At 51.2% G+C, this 21941-nt stretch overlaps 8 annotated features.

Moving 5' to 3' along the window:
* Positions 996-1831: an enhancer, noted in NCBI's record as "H3K4me1 hESC enhancer chr22:45659291-45660126 (GRCh37/hg19 assembly coordinates)". NCBI's record gives its function as "activates a minimal SCP1, AML or CMV promoter by ChIP-STARR-seq in naive H9 embryonic stem cells {active_cell/tissue: H9 hESC(naive)}" and the evidence as "EXISTENCE:reporter gene assay evidence [ECO:0000049][PMID:30033119]".
* Positions 1382-1571: an enhancer, noted in NCBI's record as "active region_19225". NCBI's record gives its function as "activates an Ori minimal core promoter by ATAC-STARR-seq in GM12878 lymphoblastoid cells {active_cell/tissue: GM12878}" and the evidence as "EXISTENCE:reporter gene assay evidence [ECO:0000049][PMID:35858748]".
* Positions 1842-1891: an enhancer, noted in NCBI's record as "active region_19224". NCBI's record gives its function as "activates an Ori minimal core promoter by ATAC-STARR-seq in GM12878 lymphoblastoid cells {active_cell/tissue: GM12878}" and the evidence as "EXISTENCE:reporter gene assay evidence [ECO:0000049][PMID:35858748]".
* Positions 10199-10378: an enhancer, noted in NCBI's record as "active region_19223". NCBI's record gives its function as "activates an Ori minimal core promoter by ATAC-STARR-seq in GM12878 lymphoblastoid cells {active_cell/tissue: GM12878}" and the evidence as "EXISTENCE:reporter gene assay evidence [ECO:0000049][PMID:35858748]".
* Positions 15560-15609: an enhancer, noted in NCBI's record as "active region_19222". NCBI's record gives its function as "activates an Ori minimal core promoter by ATAC-STARR-seq in GM12878 lymphoblastoid cells {active_cell/tissue: GM12878}" and the evidence as "EXISTENCE:reporter gene assay evidence [ECO:0000049][PMID:35858748]".
* Positions 18445-18504: an enhancer, noted in NCBI's record as "active region_19221". NCBI's record gives its function as "activates an Ori minimal core promoter by ATAC-STARR-seq in GM12878 lymphoblastoid cells {active_cell/tissue: GM12878}" and the evidence as "EXISTENCE:reporter gene assay evidence [ECO:0000049][PMID:35858748]".
* Positions 18684-18828: an enhancer, noted in NCBI's record as "145 bp enhancer 63 fragment used in the MPRA reporter construct; PK_construct_542". NCBI's record gives its function as "activates an SV40 promoter by MPRA in HepG2 cells {active_cell/tissue: HepG2}" and the evidence as "EXISTENCE:reporter gene assay evidence [ECO:0000049][PMID:23512712]".
* Positions 18749-18762: a transcriptional cis regulatory region, noted in NCBI's record as "HNF1 motif; enhancer activity is reduced when this motif is scrambled". NCBI's record gives its function as "necessary for full MPRA enhancer 63 activity {active_cell/tissue: HepG2}" and the evidence as "EXISTENCE:site-directed mutagenesis evidence [ECO:0005528][PMID:23512712]".

Below are 21941 nucleotides of genomic sequence, written 5' to 3'. Positions count from 1 at the left end.
TTTTCTGCTGTTTTCCTGTAAAAGTTTCACAGTTTTAACTCTTCCATTTAGGTCTGTGGTCCATTTTATAGACTCCCCCAAATTTATTTATTTATTTATTTATTTTGAGATGGAGTCTCGCTCTGTCACCCAGTCTGGAGTGTAGTGGTGTGATCTTGGCTCACTGCAAGCTCTACCTCCTGGGTTCAAGCCATTCTCCTGCCTCAGCCTCCTGAGTAGCTGGGATTACAGGTGAGTGCCACCACACCCGGCTAATTTTTGTATGTTTAGTAGAGATGGGGTTTCACCATGTTGGTTAGGCTAGTCTCAAACTCCTGACCTTGTGATCCACCCACCTCAGCCTCCCAAAGTGTTGGGATTACAGGTGTGAGCCACTGCACCCAGCCCCAAATTAATTTTAGTATGTAGTATGAAGTAAGTGTGGAAGTTCATTTTTTTATATATATATGGACGTCCAGTTGATCCAACACTTTTTGTGGAAACACTTTCCTTTCCCCACCGAGTTGCTTCATCACTTTGGTCAAAAATCAGTTAATTTGGTCAGGCACTGTGGCTCACGCCTGTAATCCCAGCACTTTGGGAGGCCAAGGCAGGTGGATCACTTGAGGTCAGGAGTTCAAGACCAGCTTGGCCAACATGGTGAAACCCTGTCTCTACTAAAATTACAAAAATGAGCCAGGTATGGTGTGTGCCTGTAGTCCCAGCTACTCGGGAGGCTGAGGCAGGGGAATCACTTGAACCCAAGAGGTTGCAGTGAGCCGAGATTGCACCATTGGACTCCAGCCTCGGCAAGAGAGCAAGAGACTCTCTCAAAAACAAACAAACAAACAAATTCAGTTAACTACATATGTGTGGGTCCGTTTTGTAATATACTGTGTGAACCAAAGAAAAACCCATTCATGGGCTGCCTGGTCTGGGCCCCGACTATTTTCTAACATTGACCTCCAGCACTCAGACCTCCTTGCTGGCCCCTGGCTAGGCACCTGCTGCCTCAGGCCTCAGCTCCAGCTCTGTCCTGGTCTAGAACTGTCTGCCCTGAGATCATCTCCTGTCAATGCCTCCTCCTCTGAGAGGGAGGCCCCTGCCATGGTGTTGCTCTGGTGATTTGGTTCCAGGAGAGCTTGATGAGATCAGCAGGCGCCGGATTGTACAGGGACTTGCAGGCGGAGACAAGAATTGAGGTTTTATTCTGTGTGAGATGAGAACAGGAATGGCATGATCTGACTTTGGCTTTGGAAACGTGGCCTGGGCTGCTGTGTCGAGGTGGACTGTAGGGGGAGTGCGGAGGCAGGGGTGGCCGCAGGAGGCTCCGGAAGCACGTGGCTCCTGCCGGCCACTCGCTCTGCCTGTAGTCTGTCATCAGAGCAATCCTTGGCCCTGAGAGCAGATGCTGCAATGAGAAGGAAGGTCAGCCCTGGCCAGCCTTGCTCTGGGATCCCAGGGCATGGGATTCAGGAAAAATAGGGGCTTCCCTCCTCCATGTTCACCATGCCACCCCGCCCTCGGTTCCCACACCCTCGTGGGGTGGCTCCAGGCTACTGTCCTGGCCCTTGACCTATTCACTGCCCTCAAGGCTTGGGCTGCATTTGTGGAGCAGAAGAAGGAGCCGGGGTGGAAGCCCTGAGGTTAAGTTCCAGTTCCTCTTCTTACCAGCTGGGTGACCTCCAGCGAGTCACTGGAGCCTGCAGAATCTCATTTGAGAAGTTGGATAAGATCTCTGCCCCCACCGCCCAGGCCCCAGGGGAGCTGTGCAGACTGACTCTCTTCTGAAGAGTCCCTTGGAAATGTTTTGGCGGTGGCAAGAGAAAGAGCTTTGCTTGTTCTTCAGAAAGACTTGCCGGAGTCAGACACTGAGGACTCCAGAGCATCTGGAGGAAGCCCAAGGGCCACCTCCCCTGAGAAGCCTTCCTTCGCCAGCCTGAATAAAATGGACCTCTATACACACACCTGTCTCAGTGGTGGCAGTGGCAGGCCATCTGGAGCGGCTGCTGCTGTCACACCAGCTGCAGCAGGGAGGCACGGCTGGGGCTGCATGTTCCATGGAACTGGCAGGAGCTGGGGACAGGCAGGAGCCTCTCCCATTCTGAGTCGGGGTGGCAGCTCCCTGCATGCCGCTGCAGCTGCCCAAGCCACGGCTGTGGACCCAGGCATCCCTGTGCTCTCGGAGCCTGGGAGCAGGTGGGAACCCCACCCTCCCAGGTGCAGCTGCAGCCGCCCAAACCACAGCTGCAGACCGGGGCCTCCCGCTCCACGGAGCAGGCTGGAGTCCTGCCCCACATCCCACATAGCTGCACCGGCCCTAACTGCCACTGCGGACCCAGGCATCTCTGCACTCTTGGGGGCCCTGGAAGGCCCCCCTGCCCTCACAGGCTTGGAAATGCCTGCTCCCACTGCCTGGCTTCTCCTTGCTGTCGGCACCTGCTCTGATCTTGGGGCAAAATTGGGGCCGAGCCTGGGTTTTGTCACAGCCCAGCCAGGTGTGCACACACTCAGGGCAGTGCTGACATGCCAGCCCCCTGCCGTCTCAGCCCTCTCCAGATTTTGGGCACTGATGAGCATAGGAATGAAGCTGAGGAGGAACTGAGGGCAGCTTGGCAGTGGCCTGCAGACGCCCCTTGGTACCTATAGCCTGGGCGCCATGAATGGCAGCAGGAGGCAGACAGGTTTCTGGGCAGAAGGGGGTGAGTCCCTGGTGAGGCCCACCTTCAGGCCAGGGAGGCCCTGAAGGCTGGGGGCCAGGCTGTCAGTGCCGTGGACTGGAGTGCGAACTTGTGTTGCCTTTTCTGGGCCTGCCCATGGCCGCCCATGGACCAGTCAGCATGAACTTCCCCCTCTCTGAGGCTGACAGAAGCCCCAGGCTCAGCCAGAGCTGAGCAGACGTCGGATGACCAGCTGTAGTGAGGAACTGCCCTCTCCAGGGCCTCCTCTGAGCTATTGTCACTCAATAAAGCTCCTCTTCGTCTTGCTCACCCTCTTGTTTCCGTACCTCATTCTTCCTGAGTGGAGGACAAGAACTTGGGACCCACTGAATAAGGCTAAAAGAGCTATAACACAAACAGTGCTGAGACATGCCCCTTGCTGGCCACGTTGCAGGGGAAGAGAAGGAAGGAAGAGCTGCAGCCCTTTGGGGAGCCCAGACCGGGGAGTCTCCCAAGCCAGGGCTGTGATGCCCTCTTTGGGTCCCTGTGGTTTCTGGCATCTCCAAGCTTCTGAGAGCCACTGTGTTCCCCAGTGCCAGCTGTGGAAGCTGCTTGCAGTGCGCCTGGTCCAGCTGTAGCCTCGCAGAGAGCTGGGGCCCATGCTGGCACCCGGAGCTGCCTGCCCCACTGCAGCAGCCGGCGTGTCTGACTGTGCAGTGGCCGGACCTCACGCGTGCTTACACACCCGTCACCACCCCACGCAGTCTCCCTTGGTAGACGTGGGATCCAGGCCGATAGTGTGAGCCGAGTGCAGTCTGCCAGGACAAGTGGGCGGAATGAGCCCAGTGGGCCCAAGCAAAACTCAGACAAAGATGCCACTGGCCACAGAGGTTTCTGCCCAGAAAAGCGACACCCCAAAGATTCCATAACATCGGCACCTGACCCCGCTTACATCTGTACACGCACCTGCCTCTGCACCTGGCTGCTCTGACGTCTGTACACACACCTGTCCCTTCCTTGTTTCTTCAATCATAGGGCAGCCTGCCAAGCCATGAACCACTGATATCTCAGGCTGTGGGGAGCACTTGGTGTCCCCAGAACCCAGCCATCAAGGGCCTACCCTGAGGAGGCAGGCAACGATGAAAGAGGGGAGAATGAATGAATGATGTCTCTGTGTGCTGAGTCTTAAGGAAAACGGACCATGAAAACCATTCCTGTATTGAAAGTGCTAGAGGCTTCCAGGCAGGACCGCAAGGAATGTGTGCACAGCCCCATGGGGAAGCACGGCCCCCATGACCCCCACTTTGCTGAGAAGGGACCTGAGACTCACAGAGGCTGAGCCGCTTCACCCAGCGAGGGGCTGGTGGAGCTGGGATTCTAGCCCCGAGTGTGGCTCTCCCCACTTCCTCGTGGCTCTCAGTATCCAGGAGGAATGAGGGGCCCCCTTCTCCTACTGATGAGGAAACTGAGGCCCAGGGTATGTGGGGACCTGCCTATCGCTGAGCATGCCAGGAGACAAGTCGGGCCTGCAGCCCACATCCTTGTTCTGAAGCCTCCCCCAACCCCTTTCTTTTTTTTTTTTTTTTTTGAGACAAAGTCTCACTCTGTCACCCAGGCTGGAGTGCCGTGGCGCGATCTTGGCTCACTGCAACCTCTGCCTCCTGGGTTCAAGCGATTCTCCTGCCTCAGCCTCCCAAGTGCTGGGATTACAGGTGCCTGCCACCACACCCGGCTAACTTTTGTATTTTTAGGAGAGACAGGGTTTCACTATGTTGGCCAGGCTGGTCTTGAACTCCTGACCTCAGGTGATCCGCCCACTTCGGCCTCCCAAAGTGCTGGAATTACAGGCGTGAGCCACCGCACCCAGCCCCAAGGCCCCTCTTCCTGTAGCCCTCACTTCCCCTGGTGTTCCCCCCACCTTTGCCCTTCCTGCCTCTATCCTAGACCTGGTGGTTCCCGTGCAGCTTCAGTCAGCACCTATAAGGGAGAACGAGCACATTCTTGCTGCTTCTTTTTGTTTTGTTTTGTTTTTTGAGACAGGGTCTCACTCTGTTGCCCAGGCTGGAGTGCAATGGCGTGATCACGGCTCACTGCAGCCTCAACCTCCCAGGCTTGAGCAATCCTCCCAGCTCAGCTTCCCGAGTAGCTGGAACCACAGGCACGTGCCACCATGCCTGGCTAATTTTTGTATTTTTTTTGTGGAGACGGGGGTCTTTCCATGTTGCCCAGGCTGGTCTTGAACTCCTGGGCTCAAGTGATTCACCTGCCTTGGCCTCCCAAAGTGCTGGGATTATAGGCGTAAGCCACCTTGCTCGGCTACATTCTTGCTTCTTAAAGAGACAGTGCTCTCTGTCGCTCCTGTCCTGTCCTTTCTGTCTATGGCCCACAGCAGCCAGGAAAGCCAGGTGTCCTAGAGGGAACTCTGGGCAGTGACCTCAGGGATCCCCATAGTTACTGTCCCCCCGATGCCCACCAGGGCAGCAGTTCTCCCACAGCTGGCCCTGTCCCCCTGGGGGCCATGCTGTTCTATCATTGTCTTCCCTCTTGCCAGCAGCGACTTGCAAAGCCCTCAGACGGTGGTACAGTGACACAGTTCTCCTCCTCATCCTGGCTCACTCGTGCATTTGCTAACTCAGCATATGTTCATGGAGCACCTACTATGTGTCAGCTCTGGGCCAGGTATGGGACTATACTGGTGAGCAGACAGACACACTCCACTCCTAGGGCCGCAGGCCATGGGGGAGTGAGAGAGTAGTAGAGCCGTCACACCCACGAATCAAACTGGGTGCTGTGAGGGGAAGGAGGGGGTTCAGGGCAGGAACAGGGTTCTAAGGAGTCAGATAAGACAGGAGTAGGGTCTGGTTCAGGGATTCCTGGGGGCCGCCCTGGGGAAATGATGGCTGAACTGGATGGGAGGATGAGAAGGCGCAAAGAACATTCCAGGAGGAGCAAACAGCAAAGAAGGTCTCGTGTCTGGAAGGATGATGGCCTGTTGAGAAGCCAAAAGGCTATGAGGCAGGAGGGCAGGAGTGAGGGACAGGGGCCCAGGGGCCTGGGGGTCCTGCCTTCTTCAGGCTGGGGCTCGGCCTGTATCCCAGGGTGAGGGAAACCACTAACTGCTAAGCAGGAAAGTGACATGTTCAAGTTTGGATTCTGGAAAGATCATCCTAACCTTGATTCAACACCCAGCTATAAAGGATGTTATAGAGACTGGGCGCAGTGGCTCACACCTATAATCCCAGCACTTTGGGAAGCCAAGGCAGGCGGATCACCTGAGGTCAGGAGTTCGGGACCAGCCTGGCCAACATGGTGAAACCCCATCTCTACTAAAAATACACAAATTAGCCGGGTGTGGTGGCAGGCGCCTGTAATCCCAGCTACTCGGGAGGCTGAGACAGGAGAATGGCTTGAACCTGGGAGGTGGAGGTTGCAGTGAGCAGAGATTCTGCCACTGCATTCCCAGCCTGGGCAATAGGGTGAGACTCCATCTCAAACAAACAAACAAACGAACGAACACACACAAAAACAAGAATTTTTTAGAGACAATAAGGGAAATTTGAATGTGACTGAGATTTAGAAGGAACTAGATTATTGGTAGTTTCATTCATTGTGATGATGGTATTGCGGTTATGGAAAAAAATGTCCACCTAAAAAAGTCAATGCATTTACTGAAGCATTTGGGTGTGAATGAGCATCATATCTAAAATTAACTTTAAAATATTTTTAACAAGATGAGCTGGGCTTGGTGGCTCACACCTGTAATTCCAGCAATTTGGGAGGCCAAGCAGGTGGATCACCTGAGGTCAGGAGTTCGAGACCAGCCTGACCAACATGGTGAAACCCCATCTCTACTAAAAATACAAAAAATTAGCCAGACATGGTGGCGTGCTCCTGTAGTCCCAGCTACTCAGGAGGCTGAGGCACGAGAATTGCTTGAACCCAGGGGGCAGAAATTGCAGTGAGCCGAGATCACACCACTGCACTCCAGCCTGGGTGGCAGAGCGAGACTCTGTTTCAAAAACAAGCAAACAAACAAACAAAAATATTTCTAACAAAACAAATGGAGAAAATATGGCAAGATATTAATAATTTAAATCTAGGGGATGGATATAAAAATTTTCTATTATATACTTCACTCTACTTTTGGATTTATTTGAAATATTTCATATTAAAAAGAAAAAATTAATAACAAAGAAAGAAGAAAAGATAGGTCAATGATATACAGACAGACAAATAGATCTCCCTGGTTTTTGGGTAGAAGGTGGGTTGGAGGGGCCAGGCCTCCTAAGTTGGGAGACCCCATGGGTTAGTCCATTTTGCATTGCTATAAAGCAATACCTGAGACTGAATAAGTTATAAGGAAAAGAGGTTTATTTTAGCTCATGGTTCTGCAGGCTGTAGAAGCATGACACCAGCATCTGGTAAGCTTCGGTGGGGCCTCAGGAAGCTTCCAATCATGGCAGAAGGCAAAGAGGGAGCAAGTGCATCACGCAATGAGACAGCAAGAGGGGTGGGAGGGGCCACATGCTTTTTTGTTTTGTTTTGTTTTGAGGCAGAGTCTCACTCTGTTGCCCAGGCTGGAGTGCAGTGGAGCCATCTCGGCTCACTGCAACCTCCGCCTCCCAGGTTCAAGTGATTCTCCTGCCTCAGCCTCCTGAGTAGCTGGGACTACAGGTGCCTGCCACCACGCCTGGCTGATTTTTGTATTTTTAGCAGAGACAGGGTTTCACTATGTTGGCCAGGCTGGTCTCAAACTCCTGACCTCAGGTGATCTGCCGATCTCACCCTCCGAAAGTGCCGGGATTACAGGCATGAAGCACCACGCCCAGCATGCCACACGCTTTTAAACAACCAGATCTTGTGTGAACTCATTGCCACTTATTACCATGATGAGGACACATGCCATTCATGAGTTGTCCGCCCCCATGACCCAAACACCCCCCACCAGTCCTCGCCTCCAACATTAGTAGTCACATTTTAACATGAGATTTGGAGGGGACAAACATCCCAGCCATATCGCCCCACGAAGAGGATGTTCGTGGTAGGTGAATTCTAAAATGACCACCAGTGACCATGTCCTTGTGTCATCTTCTCCGCTTGAGTATGGGTGAGACTTGTAGATATGACGGAATATCACTCCTGTCATTGTGTTACATTATTTGGCAAAAGAGAAACTTGCAAGTGTGATTCGGGTCCCTCACAGTTGAACTGATCAAAAGGGAGATTGTCCTGGGTGGGCCTGACCTAATAAGGTGATCTCTTGAAAGGGGACTCTTAAAGACAGGGTAAGTCAGAGAGATGTGCTTCTGCTGGCCTGAAGAAGGAACTAGAGGATTAGTGTTAGTTTCATTAGGTGTGATGATGGTATTGTAGTTATGGAGAAAAAATGTCCATTTTAAAAAGTTCAGTTGGGTGTGGTGGCTCACACCTGCAATCCCAGCACTTTGGGAGGCCAAGGTGTGTGGATCACCTGAGGTCAGGAGTTTGAGACCAGCCTGGCCAACATGGTAAAACCTTATCTCTACTAAAAATACAAACAAAATTATCCGGGCATGGTGGCAGGCACCTGTAACCCCAGCTACTTGGGAGGCTGAGGCAGGAGAATTGCTTGAACCCGGGAGGTAGAGGTTGCAGTAAGCTGAAATCATGCCATTGCACTCTAGCCTTGGTGACAGAAAGGGACTCCATCTCAAACACACACACACACACACTCCAAGGGGCTGGCCACAGTGTCTCATGCCTGTAATCCCAAAACTTCGGGAGGCAGAGCCAAGAGGATCACTTGAACCCAGGAGTTTGAGACCAGCCTGGGCAACATAGTGAGACCTTGTTTCTATTTTTAAAAAATAATAAATAAATAAAAATAAAGGCCAAGCACAGTGGCTCACACCTGTAATCCTAGCACTTTGGGAGGCCAAGGTGCATGCATTGCTTGAGCCCAGGAGTTCAAGACCAGCCTCACCAACATAACAAGCCACCATCTTTACCAAAAAAAGATACAAAAATTAGCTGGGCATGGTGGTGTGCACCTGTGGTCCCAGCTAGTTGGAAGGCTGAGGTGGGGGGATCCTTGAGCCCAGGAAGATGAAGCTACAGTGAGCTGATATCATACCACTGCACTCCAGCCTGGACAACAGAGCGAGACCCTGCCAAAAAAAAAAAAAAAAGTCAAGGAAGCCTCCATGAGTTCTCTAGCTGCAAGGAAATGAGTTCTGCCAACAACTACATGATCTGGGAAAAGGGCTCCAAGTCTCAGGTAAGACCTCAGCCTTGGCCAATACCAGGATTTTAGCCCTGGGATGCCCTGAGCAGAGAACCCAGATACGGTGAGCCTGAGCTACCAACCAATAACATGGTGGGCTGACAAAGCACTTAGTTTGTGATAATTTTTTATGCAGGAATAGAAAACAAATACACTGCTAAAAGAGTTCAAGCAGAAGAACTCATGACAGTGGGGATGGTGTGAAGCAGATGGACCTGAGAGTACTTAGAAGATGAAATCACCAGATGGATGAGAGCTGAGAGCAAAGGAGGGGGTGTCTGGAAAGAAATGGAGAGGGAGAGCCTGCAGGAGGATGAGATCTGGGGGACACATTGAGGTGTCCCTTCAGGCATTTCTATGAACTTCTTGAACTTTCAGCTGGGCACAGGAAAAGGTAAGGGCTGAAGGTCAAGCAGATGTGGGGAGTGGTTGGTGTGTGATGGAGTTTGGTGCCATGGGAGGGAGGAGCTTGGCCCAGGATGGACCCCCAAGGACCTGACTCCGAAGAAGCCTGGAGGGACTGATTCCTGGGTCCTAAAAGCTGGGTGTTATGGTTTGAGTGTGTCTTGTGCTGGACACTTAATCCCCAATGCAACAGTGTTGAGAGGTGGGGCCTTTAAGAGGTGATTGGGTCATGGTGGCTCTTCCCTCACAAATGTATTAATGTCATTATTATGGAGTGGGAGTGGGTTTGTTACTGTTGAAGTGGCATCCTTATAAAGGATAAACTTGGCCTCCTTTCTCTTGCACACTTGAGTGCTCTTTTGCCCTTCTACCTTCTGCCATGTGAGGACACAGCAAGAAGGCCCCCACCAGATGCTGGCACCTTGGTTTTGGACTTCACAGCCTGTAGGACTGCGAGAAACAAATTTCTCTTCTTTATAAATTACCCAGTCTTCTGTTATAGCAGCACAAAACAGACCAAAACACCAGGGAGGGGAGAGGGCTCAGGGTGAGGGGCAATTCAGTGCTGGCTGCATGTCACACAGGCCACCAAGGCCTGCCACTGTGACTGCTTCATTATCTCTGGATTTGGTCTCCTCCCCTTCTTCACTCCCACAGCAACACTCCAGCCTGGGTCTCCCGGCCTCTCCTGCAAACCCCTGCAAACTCAGGGCAGCTCTGGGAAGGCAGGAACCACATCTGACTCACCCTCTTGTCAGGCCCTGTGTGGATGCTGGTGACAAAGTCACAGATATTACCAGTATATCTGTGGTCTGTAGCCTACAGTCATAATGAAAGACATGCCAAATTTCCGCTCAACATTAGTAAAACTAAAGGTGTTATTTTCTTCCCATCCAAGTTCACAGATCTCCTGAATTCTGTCCACAGACTTCTACTCAGGATGAAGGGCCCAAGCTCTATGCCACGATGAGGCATGGATTGGTGCACTTCGTGAACAGAACAGCATGGCCAGAAGGGAAGAAAATGTCAGCAAGCAGCGGCAGCAGAATCAGCAGGGCTGTTATGGGGGGGTGCAGACAGGACATATTGGGCTTCAGCAGGAAGACAGTGCCTGCTGACAGCCAGCCCACCCTCGGAGAGGGCCCACGTGAGAGGCCTGAGCTGAGAGTGAGGGTGAATGGGCATTCTAGGCTGAGGGCAGCACACATGTGACCTCAGGCTGGTCCCTGCCTCTCTGGCTTTTGTCCCTTCAATGTGAAATGGACAGGCTGGACCAGAGGCCTCCTAGGGCCCTACCAGGGCTCACCCTCTACTGCCCGTCCCACTTTCATCTCTGGTAGGGAGGGCCCAGCAGCCAACGTACCATTGGGACTCCCCCGTTTGTTAAGTGAGGGCTCATGGTGGTCTCTGTTTCAGTCATAACCCACTGATGAGTGTTAACTGCATCATTTTATTATTACTGTTATTATTATTATTTTAACACGGAGTCTCACTCTGTCGCTCAGGCTGGAGTGCAATGGCGTGATCTCTGCTCACTGCAACCTCCGCCTCCTGGGTTCAAGCGATTCTCCTGCCTCAGCCTCCTGAGTAGTTGGGATTACAGGCACGTGCCACCATGCCTGGCTAATTTTTGTATTTTAGTATAGATGGGGTTTCACCATGTTGGCCAGGCTGGTCCCGAACTCACCTCAGGTGATCTGCTCGCCTCGGGCTCCCAAAGTGGTGGGATTACAGGTGTGAGCCACCGTGCCCGGCCCAAACTGCACCATTTTGTAAGCCCCCCGCCATTTCACAGGCCTTGGTCAAAGTGAAATATTCCACAGGGGTTCAGGTGGTGACAAACATCCTCCCTGACTGCCTGACTTTCTTATCATACCCTGCCAGGCAAAGACCCAGCTGAAGAAGCATCACTGTCACATTCTGTGGAAACAAGGGCCAAACTGCCTCAACATGGCATGTTATTAACTTTCTTTTTTGTTTTTTGAGACAGAGTCTTGCTTTGTTGCCCAGGATGGAGTGCAGTGGTGCTATCTCGGCTCACTGCAACATCTACCTCCCAGGTTCAAGTGATTCTCCTGTCTCAGCCTCTCGAGTAGCTAGGATTACAGGTGCCTGCCACCATGCCCAGCTAATTTTTGTATTTTTAGCAGAGACAGGGTTTCACTATGTTGGCCAGGCTGGTCTCGAACTCCTGACCTTGTGATCCACCCACCTCGGCCTCCTAAAGTGCTGGGATTACAGGTGTGAGCCACCGCGCCCAGCCTGCTATGAACATTTTTCCAGGCAGCAGGCCATGCCCCCCAGACCCCTCCTGCCCAGGCCTATACGTACTCCAGCCTATAAGTGGCAGTAGCCACTGGCATCAAGCTGGTCCCCACCTCCGCAGGGCTGATGCTGGACATAAATGCCTGTGTTTGCTGTAGAGCCGCATCCCCACCCCCCACCTCTCTCTCTCTCTGTGTGTGTGTGTGTGTGTGTGTGCGTGTGTGTGTGTGTCTTTTCCTTTAACCCTTGCCTTTCCTTCAAAACCTAACAATGAGTAAGGGCCAGAAACCCCTCTCAGCTGGCTTCAGCAGGAAAGGGGGTGTATTGGCTCCGCAACTGAAAGACTGGGCTTCACTTTCCATCTCTCGGCCCTGTTCTCCTCTGTGTGGACTCCATTCTCAGCCAGGTCGCCCTACCAAGATGGCTGCTGGAAAGATGGCGGCTGGCAGCTGTCCTCTTAGTGGCCTTACTGCAAAGACATCCAGAGTCCTGGGATTGGCCCTGACTGGACCATCCCTGGACTATCACTATGGCGAGGGAGATGCTCTGATTTAATGGGCCAGACCTGGCTCAGCTCTCGTGAACTGAAATGGGCACAAGGTGGGTCCCAGAGGAAAAACCCCATCATGAGAAGAGGACAGAACAGATGCTGTACTAGCAAAAGTGGTGGAAGAGGCTGCAGCAGTGAGTTGAAGTTTGTCCCCTACTTCCTGCAAAATGAGATGTCTACCTGTGAATGCGAGTGACCTTATTTGGAAAGAAAATCTTTGCAGATGTGATTAAGCTCAGTCTCTTGAGGTGACAGCATCCTGGATTCACGGTGGTTCACTTCAATGTCAAGTGAACTTTTTTTTTTTTTGGGAGGGGACAGTCTTGCTTTGTCGCCCAGGCTGGAGTGCGGTGGCGCAATCTCGGCTCACTGTAAACCCCGCCTCCTGGGTTCAAACGATTCTCCTGCCTCAGCCTCCCGAACAGCTGGGATTACAGGCACCTGCCACCATGCCCAGCTAATTTTTGTATTTTTAGTAGAGACAGCATTTCACCATGTTGGCCAGGCCGGTCTCGAACCCCTGACCTCAGGTGATCTGCCTGCCGTGGCCTCCCAAAGTGCTGGAATTATAGCTGTGAGCCTATACAGGTGTGAGCCTGAATTTTTTTTTTTTTTTTTGAGAAGGAGTCTCACTCTGTCACCCAGGCTGGAGTGCGGTGGCACGATCTTGGCTCACTGCAACCTCCGCCTCCCAGGATCAAGCGATTTCTTCTGCCTCAGTCTCCTGAGTAGCTGGGATTATAGGCGTGCACCACCATACCCAGCTAATTTTTTGTCTTTTTAGTAGAGACGGGGTTTCACCATCATGGCCAAGCTGGTTTCAAACTCCTGCCCTCAAGTGATCCACCCGCCTTGGTCTCCCAAAGTGTTAGGATTACAGGCGTGAGCCACCGCACCTGGCCAAGCCTGAACTTTTAAGAGCAGCAGGGGAGACTGAGTCGCAGTGACACAGAGGAGGAGGCCATGTGAAGAGATGGAGGCAGAAATTGGAGTGGTGCAGCCGCAAGCCAAGGAGTGCCTGGAGCCACCAGAAGCTGCAAGAGGCAGGACGCCTCCTCCCCTGGAGCCTCTGGAGGCAGCACAGCCCCATGGATGCCTTGGTTTCTGACTTCTGGCTTCTAGAACTGTGAGAGAATAAATGTCTGTTGGCTTAAGCCAGCAGTTTGTAGTGACTGGTTACGGCGGCCACAGGAAACTGACACTCACCCAGCTCACGTTTCTAATTTTTTTTTTTTTTTTTTGAGGCGGAATCTCACTCTGTTGCCCAGGCTGGAGTGCAGTGGAGCCACCTCGGTTCACTGCAACCTCCGCCTCCCAGGTTCAAGTGATTCTCCTGCCTCAGCCTCCTGAGTAGCTGGGACTACAGGTGTGCACCCCTACACCTGGCTAATTTTTGTATTTTTAGTAGAGACGGGGTTTCACTATGTTGGCCAGGCTGGTCTTGAACTCCTGACCTCAGGTGATCCACATGCCTCAGCCTCCCAAAGTGCTGGGATTATAAATGTGAGCCACTGTGCCCAGCCTCGGCTCATGTTTCTGAAGCACCATAAATACTCCTTGGTCATGACTCCCAGGATTGAAGGTCTATACAACAGCCTGGGGCTTCCAGATGTGCCCAAACTTTCCCATCCAGCCCTTATCCGTGGCTCCCATGATGCACCACTGCTCCATCGCCCACGTAGGAAAGGGCGGCACTGGGTGGGAACAGGTGTGGGCTCTTCACTAAGTAGGTGCTAAACACATCAATATAACTGAAGTGAGGCCAGATATACAAGTACAGTCACCGCCTTCTTCTCAGCGCTTACCACGGGCACAACCCCCTGGCTTCGTGGCCTTGAGTAAGCCACTCGGCATCTCCACTCCCTGCAAAATGTTGTCAAAAGGTGAGCCTCAATGTTCTCACCTATAAAATGGGGATGATAACAGTACAATCCGGGCCATGTGCAGTGGCTCACGCCTGTCATCCCAGCACTTTGGAGGTGGATGCAGGCAGATTGCTTGAGCCCAGGAGTTTGAGACCAGCCTGGGCAATATGGCGTGACCCTGTCTCTACTAAAAATACAAAAATCTGCCTGGTGTAGGGGTGTGAGCCCGTTGTCCCAGCTCCTCGGAGGGGTGCTGAGGTGGGAGGATCACTTGAGCCTGGGAGGCAGAGGTTGCAGTGAGCTGTGGACTGCACTCCAGCATGGGCGACAGAGTGAGACACTGTCTCAAAAACAAAAACAAGGCCGGGTGCGGTGGCTCACGCCTGTAATCCCAGCACTTTGGGAGGTGGGTGGGTCAGGAGATTGAGACCATCCTGGCTAACACGGTGAAACCCCATCTGTACTAAAAATACAAAAAATTAGCCGGGCGTGGTGGCACGCGCCTGTAGTCCCAGCTACTTGGGAGGCTGAGGCAGGAGAATCGCTTGAACCTGGGAGGCAGAGGTTGCAGTGAGCCAAGATTGCGCCACTGCACTCCAGCCTGGGCGACAGAGCGAGACGCCGTCTCTAACAAAAACAAAACCCAAAAATACCCAGTACAATCCTGCAGTTAATTTAGGGGGATTAAAGGGGGATTAAAGAGACCTCGGCATACCACTGAGTGTTATTAAGAAGTGCTGTCTTTTCCCTTCTCTGGAGACGCTATCCCTCCAAGTGAGCAATGAGTTGTTAATTTTTCTTCTTTCTTTCTTTTTTTTTTTTAAGATGGAGTTTCACTCTTGTTGCCCAGGTTGGAGTGCAATGGCGCCATCTTGGCTCACTGCAACCTCTGCCTTCCAGGTTCAGGTGATTCCCATGCTTCAGCCTCCCAAGTAGCTGCGATTACAAGCGCCCACCACCATGCCTGGATAATTTTTGTATTTTTAGTAGTGACAGGGTTTCACCATGTTGGCCAGGCTGGTCTTGAACTCCTGACCTCAGGTGATCCACTCCCCCTCAGCCTCCCAAAGAGCTGGGATTACAGGCGTGAGTCACTGCACCTGGCCTAATTTTCTTCTTTCATCAATAGTTACCTTCCACGTGTGGGCCCCACCATCCATGTGGGCTGGAGGACAGAGCCATTTCCAGGCATTTGTTGGCCTGAGTCACTCTAGCTTTCAGAGGCTCAGCCTATATCATCTGCAACATGAATGCACCCTTATCAAAATGTTTCCCCTGAAAAATTCTGAAAAGATTTCAGGCCAGGCACAGCGGCTCATGCCTGTAATCCCAGCACTTTGGGAGGCCAAGGCGGGTGGATCACAAGGTCAGGAGATCGAGACCATCCTGACTAACACAGTGAAACCCAGTCTCTACTAAAAATACAAAAAAAAAAAAAAAAAAAAAATACCCGGGTGTGTTGGCGGGCGCCTGTAATCTACTAGGGAGGCTGAGGAAGGAGAATGGCGTGAACCTGGGAGGCGGAGCTTGCAGTGAGCTGAGATAGCGCCACTGCACTCCAGCCTGGGTGACAGAGTGAGACTCCGTCTCAAAAAAAAAAAAAAAATCTGAAAAGATTTCTATAATTTTGCCTTTGAATTTTCTTGGCTACGTGACTCTGCCTTTGCTAATCTTGGAGAAGGTACATAACCTCTGTATGCCTCGGTTTCCTCATGCATAAAACAGGAATAATGATGGCTCTTAAGTCATAGAATTCAGTGTGTTGACATATGTAAATTCATAACACCACGCCCAGCAGAGGTAAGTCCTGAATACACGTTTGCCAAATAAACTAAAATACCAGTAACTTTCAGTTTCTGATTTCTCGTCGACCATCTGGAACTCTCAGAATTCTTGCTACGTGAGAAAATCTAACCCACAAAGAGTTTTCAAATGTAGTAAAACTTTTATAAATACCAAATCGAAAAGATGACATAATCTTCCATCTTGTAGGTATTTAATGAAATGTCTATTAATTTTAATTTTGCCATTTTATTTTTGCATTTTACAGTAGTACACAATGTTAATTATTAACACAGTGTTCATCGCCCCTCAAAATTCTGTGAGCTCCAGCCCTGTGAGCCTAACCAATAACCTAGCATCAGCAGGGGCAGAGGTCACACAGATGCCTCCAAGGGGGCTGATTCTGAGATGACCAAATGGAGGCAATGACCAGACCTATTGCCCAGTCCCACCTGGCTCTGCTCACCAAAGCTTTGGGGGTGGGGAGATGCCAGGGAGCTGTGCTAGCAGAAGTCAAAAGGTTCTGTCCAGAGACAGGTAGGTCAGGTTCACCTGGATCACAGCCATGACCAGGCAGGAGGCAGAGGGTGCCAAGGCTGTGTGTTCATGGACAAGGGGAACATCTTCTGAACTGGAGCCTCAGGGGGCAGGAAAAGGGGAGCAGGCTCTCCAGCTCTCCCTGCCCTGGCCCACCCTACCTGTTCTCCCATGATGTTGGGGCTGGAAAGGCCCAAGGGGATATCTAGTTTAGCCTCCTTCTCATTGACAGATGGAGCAGGGCGCTGGAGCAGAAGGGATCTGCCTGTTTCAGGCTGCGCTGGTTTCAGGTGCCCCTGCCCTGGAGCACCCTGCATCTCCACTCCACTTCCCAGCAATGAAGCTGTCCTGTGTTGCATGACATAGGTTTTCTTCCTTCAAAACAGCATTCCAGGGCTGCGCGCGGTGGCTCATGCCTATAATTAATCCCAGCACTTTGGGAGACGGAGGTGGGTGGATCACTTGAGGTCAGGAGTTCGATACCAGCCTGGCCAACATGGTGAAACCCCGTCTCTACTAAAAACACACACAAATTAGCCGAGTGTGGTGGCACACGTCTGTAATCCCAGCTACTTGGGAGGCTGAGGCAGGAGAATCACTTGAACCTGGGAGGCGGAGGTTGCAGTAAGCCGAGATTGCGCCATTGCCCTCCAGCCTCAGTGACAAGAGCAAAACTCCATCTCGAAAACAAAACAAAACAAAAGAAAAAACACAGCATTCCAGGGCTGGGTGTCTGTAATCAATCCTAGCACTTTGGGAGATGGAGGTGGACAGATCACTTGAGGTCAGGAGTTCGAGACCAGCCTGGGTAACATGGCAGAACCCCACATCTCTACAAAAATACAAAAAAATTAGCCAGGCATGGTGTCACATGCCTGTACTCCCAGCTACTTGGGAGACTGAGGCAGGGGGATAACCTGAGCTGGGGAGATGGAGGCTGTGGTGAGCTGTGATCATGCCACTGCGCTCCAGCCTGGGTGACACAGTGAGACCCTGTTTCAAAACAACAACAACAACTTAGCATTCCACACTCTGCTTTCCAGTGGACCTTCCCACCTTAAACCAGAAAAGGAATGAGTTAATACCAGAGTGTACACTGATATCTCTTCCTTCGTGGCTACAGGAGGATTGGAATCCTGGCTCAGTTCTGATTTGTTGTGTGATTTTTTTTTTTTTTTTTTGGTGGAGTTTCCCTCTGTCGCCCATTTAAAGTGCAGTGGTGTGATCTTGGCTCACTGCAACCTCTGCCTCCTGGGTTCAAGTGTTTCTCCTGCCTCAGCCTCCTGAGCAACCGGGATTACAGGCGTGCGCCACCACACCCAGCTAATTTTTGTATTTCTAGTAGAGACAGAGTTTTGTTTCTTTTCTTTTTCTTTCTTTTTTTTTTTTTTGAGATGGAGTCTTGCTGTGTTGCCCAGGCTGGTGCAATGGCGTGATCTCGGCTCACTGCAACCTCCACCTCCTGGGTTCCAGTGATTCTCCTCCCTCAGCCTCCCAAGTAGCTAGGATTACAGGTGCCCACTACCACGTTGGACTAATTTTTTTGTATTTTTAGTAGAGACGGGGTTCCGTCATGTTGGCCAGGCTGGTCTTGAACCCCTGACCTCAGGTGATCCACCCACCTCAGCCTCCTAAAGTGCTGGGATTACAGGCATGAGCCACCGTGCCCAGCCCAGAGACGGGGTTTCACCATGTTGGCCAGGCTGGTCTTGAATTCCTGACCTCAGGTGATCTGCCTGCCTCAGACTCCCAAAGTGCAGGAATTATGGGCATGTGCCACCACGCCCGGCCCGCCGTGTGATTTTGAGCATGACTCAACCTCTCTGGGTTTTGCTTGCCCCCGCTAACATATGAAGAAAAAACACTGGCTGCCTCTTCCGGGGCTCAGGGGTTCTAGTTGTCCACATCCATGAAGCTCCGGGCATACGGCAGGGCCTCAGGAAATATTAGTATGTCTCTCCCCACCCCCAATCCCATCAGGTGCTTCCTCTTTCAAAGTGTCTTCTGAATCCTTTATTCTCACCAAGGTGTCATGCTTAATAATAATTTTAAGGCTACTCCCTCCAGGGGAATTTTAGCAGGGATCTGTTAAAAAAAAAAAAAAAAAAGCTGATCGCTTATGGTAGAATTTCTGACAACATCTGAGAATGAGAAAATATTTTGTGTGGAGTTAGCTTAGGTGGGGGTGTTGGGGTGGTGCAATGGTGTGGAAGGGAGGAAGGGAGGCAACTGAACCTTGTCAAGTAGTGCCTCTATCTTTGTAGCAGGTGAGAAAAGGCCCGTATTAGAGGGGCTGCTGCAGTCTAGGCCTGGGGATGATGGCTGGGTTTCATCTGTTTTCCAGATGAGAAGCAGGGATTCCCAGCAAAGGAGAACCATGAGTCACAGGGAAAAGTCTGGCCGGAAGCTGCTGACACACATTCTCACAGGACTATGGCAAGTATGTTAATGATTTACAAGGGTGGATGGGAGAGCCCTGGAACCTGGCCTTCGGAACATGAGCTCATGGACCTGAGATTGGAGCTGTTTATACCTAACGTGACTGGGAATTAGTTATCTTTTCTTCTTGGGGACCAAGGAGAAAAGATGAACAGCTGGAGTTTAATAACAGTCTTGCAGAATGTTAAGGCCAAGAGCGATCTCAGAGATCAGCCAGTCCCACCACCTCCTATACAGACTGTGACGTGAACTGAGGCTTAGACAGGAGAGGGTGGTGGCCAGGGCCTCGAAGCTGAACTGGCAAGTCTCTGGGCCTGTCAGTCACTTAAAACACGGCGGGGGAGTTCTAAAGAAGCTTTTGTGGCTGGGCACGATGGCTCACACTTGTAATCCCAGCACTTTGCGAGACCGAGGCAGGTGTATCACTTGAGGCTAGGAGTTCAAGACCAGCCTGGCCAACGTGGTGAAACCCCATCTCTACTAAAAATACAAAAATTAGCCCCACATTGTGGCAGGCGCCTGTAATCCCAGCTACTCAGGAGGCTAAGGCAGGGGAATTGCTTGAACCTGGGAGGCGGAGGTTGCAGTGAGCTGAGATTGCATCACTGTACTCCAGCCTGGGTGACAGAGCAAGACTCTGTCTCAAAAAAAAAAAAAGTTTTTGTTCTTAACACTGTCTGGTGGCTGGGCGCAGTGGCTCACACCTGTAATCCCAGCACTTTGGGAGGCAGAGGCGGGCGGATCACGAGGTCAGGAGATCGAGACCATCCTGGCTAACACAGTGAAACCCTGTCTCTACTAAAAATACAAAAAATTAGCCGGGCGTGGTGGCGGGCGCCTGTAGTCCCAGCTACTCAGGAGGCTGAGACAGGAGAATGGCGTGAACCCGGGAGGCGGAGCTTGCAGTGAGCCGAGATCGCGCCACTGCACTCCAGCCTGGGCCACAGAGTGAAACTCAGTCTCAAAAAAACAAACAAACAAACAAACAAAACAACAAAAAAACACTGTCTGGCTCTTTGAATAAGATCAGCCCCAAGCATTTGGAGATAAAAATGTGTGCTGTCGGACACCGCTGTTACAATAGTGTAGAGGGATGGCATTAGGCAAACCCCGGGCAGGAACTCTGAAAAATGAAGCAAGACTGACCTATTAAAGCAATTGGATTGTGGTTGTTTTTTCTTTCTGCTAAACTTTGCTTGATTGTTGTTCTAAGTGTTTGCAAAATAAACCTCAGGGATAGAAGCGCTTAGGTGGAGAGCTGACACAATGCCCACATCTCAGGCTTGCCCACGTATTGGTATCACTGCTGTAATAATTACTACAACGTTATTGCCTTAACACATTTCCAGTTCTGTAGGTTAGAAGTTCAACTGAGGTCTTGCTGAGCTAAAGTCAAGGTGCAGGCAGGGCTGTGTCATATCTGGGGGCAACTGTAGGAGAATCTGTTTCCTTGCCTCTTCCAGCTTCCGGAAGCTGCCTGTATGCCTTGTCTTGTGGCCCCTTCCTCCCTCTTCAGTGCCAGCAACATTGCATTTACCTGACCATTCTTGTGTTGTCACATCTCTTTTTGACCACAGCCAGGAAATGTTCCCCGATTTTAAGAATTTATGTGATGAGATTGGGCCCACTTGGATAACCCAGGATAGTCTCCCTATCTCAGTGTCTGTACTCTTAGGCCCCATGTGGCAGCTCATGCCTGTAATCCCGGCACTTTGGGAGCCCGAGGTGGGCAGATCACTTGAGGTCGGGAGTTCGAGACCAGCCTGGCCAACATGGTGAAACCCTGTCTCTACCAAAAAATACAAAAAATAGCCGGGTGTGGTGGCACACACCCTTAGTCCCAGCTACTCAGGAGGTTGAGGTGGGAGGATGGATTGAGCTGGGGAGGTGGAGGTTGCAGTGAGCTAAGATCGTGCCACTGCACTCCAGCCTGGGCAACTGAGTGAGACCCTGTCTCGAAAACAAACAAACAAAAAATCACGTCAGCAAAGTCCATTTTGCCAGGTAAGGCAACATATTCACAGGAATTAGCACAGGAATTAGGGTGTGGGCATTTTGGGGCCATTATTCTGCCTATATACTTTCAATTCTATTTTATATTCTGAATATTTGTATACAGAAAAGTGCATAAATAATTACAAAATGCCAGCTTTATATATATATTACATACATATATTACATATATAACATATATATTATATATATTACATATATATATGTTATATATACATATATATATATTTTTTTTTTGAGACCAGGTCTCACTCTGTTGCCTAGGCTGGAGTGCAGCAGTGTGATCGCGGCTCACTGCAGCCTTGACTTCCCCGCCTCAAGCAATCCTCCCACCTCAGCCTCCTGAGTAGCTGTGACCACAGACGTGTGTCATCACACCTGGCTAATTTTTTTTTTTTTGTAAAGATGAGGTCTTGCTATGTTGGCCAGGCTGGTCTCAAACTCCTGGGCCTAAGCCAGCCTCCTGCCTGCCTTGGCCTCCCAAAGTGCTGTGGTTACAGGTTTGAACCACAGCACACAGCCTTTTGATTTTCTAACTTTTTTTTTTTTTTGAGATGGAGTCTCGCTCTGTTGCCCAGGTTGGAGTGTAGTGGCACAATCTCGGCTCACTGCAACCTCTGCCTCCCAGGTTCGAGCGATTCTCCTGCGTCAGCCTCCAGAATAGCTGGGACTACAGGTGTGTGCCATTACGCCCAGCTAATTTTTGTATTTTTAGTAGAGATGGGGTTTCGCCAGGTTGGCCAGGCTGGTCTCGAACTCCCGACCTCAGGTGATCTGCCCGCCTTGGCCCCCCAAAGTGCTGGGATTACAGGCGTGAGCCACCATGCCCAGCTGTGCAGCCTTTTAATTTTCATAAACTGACCACACCCGTGTAACCAGCCCCCAGATCAAGAAACAGAACATGCTCTGTAGCCCCAGAAGTCCTGCTCCTGCCCTCTTCCCATGCACAGTGTGATTTAGCATTTGTTGACATTAGAAAATTCTGTGTATATGTGAGGTCAGGAGTTCGAGACCAGCCTGACCAACATGGAGAAACCCCATCTCCATGAAATTAGCCGGGCGTGGTGGCACATGCCTGTAATCCCAGCTACTTGGGAGGCTGAGGCAAGAGAATTGCTTGAACCTGGGAGGTGGAGGTTGCGGTGAGGCGAGATCGCGACATTGTACTCCAGCCTGGGCAACAA

Source organism: Homo sapiens, chromosome 22 (assembly GCF_000001405.40).
Source record: "Homo sapiens chromosome 22, GRCh38.p14 Primary Assembly".
Taxonomy (NCBI): domain Eukaryota; kingdom Metazoa; phylum Chordata; class Mammalia; order Primates; family Hominidae; genus Homo; species Homo sapiens.
Note: the sequence above shows the minus strand (reverse complement) of the source record. Positions and strands in the feature narration are given on the sequence as shown.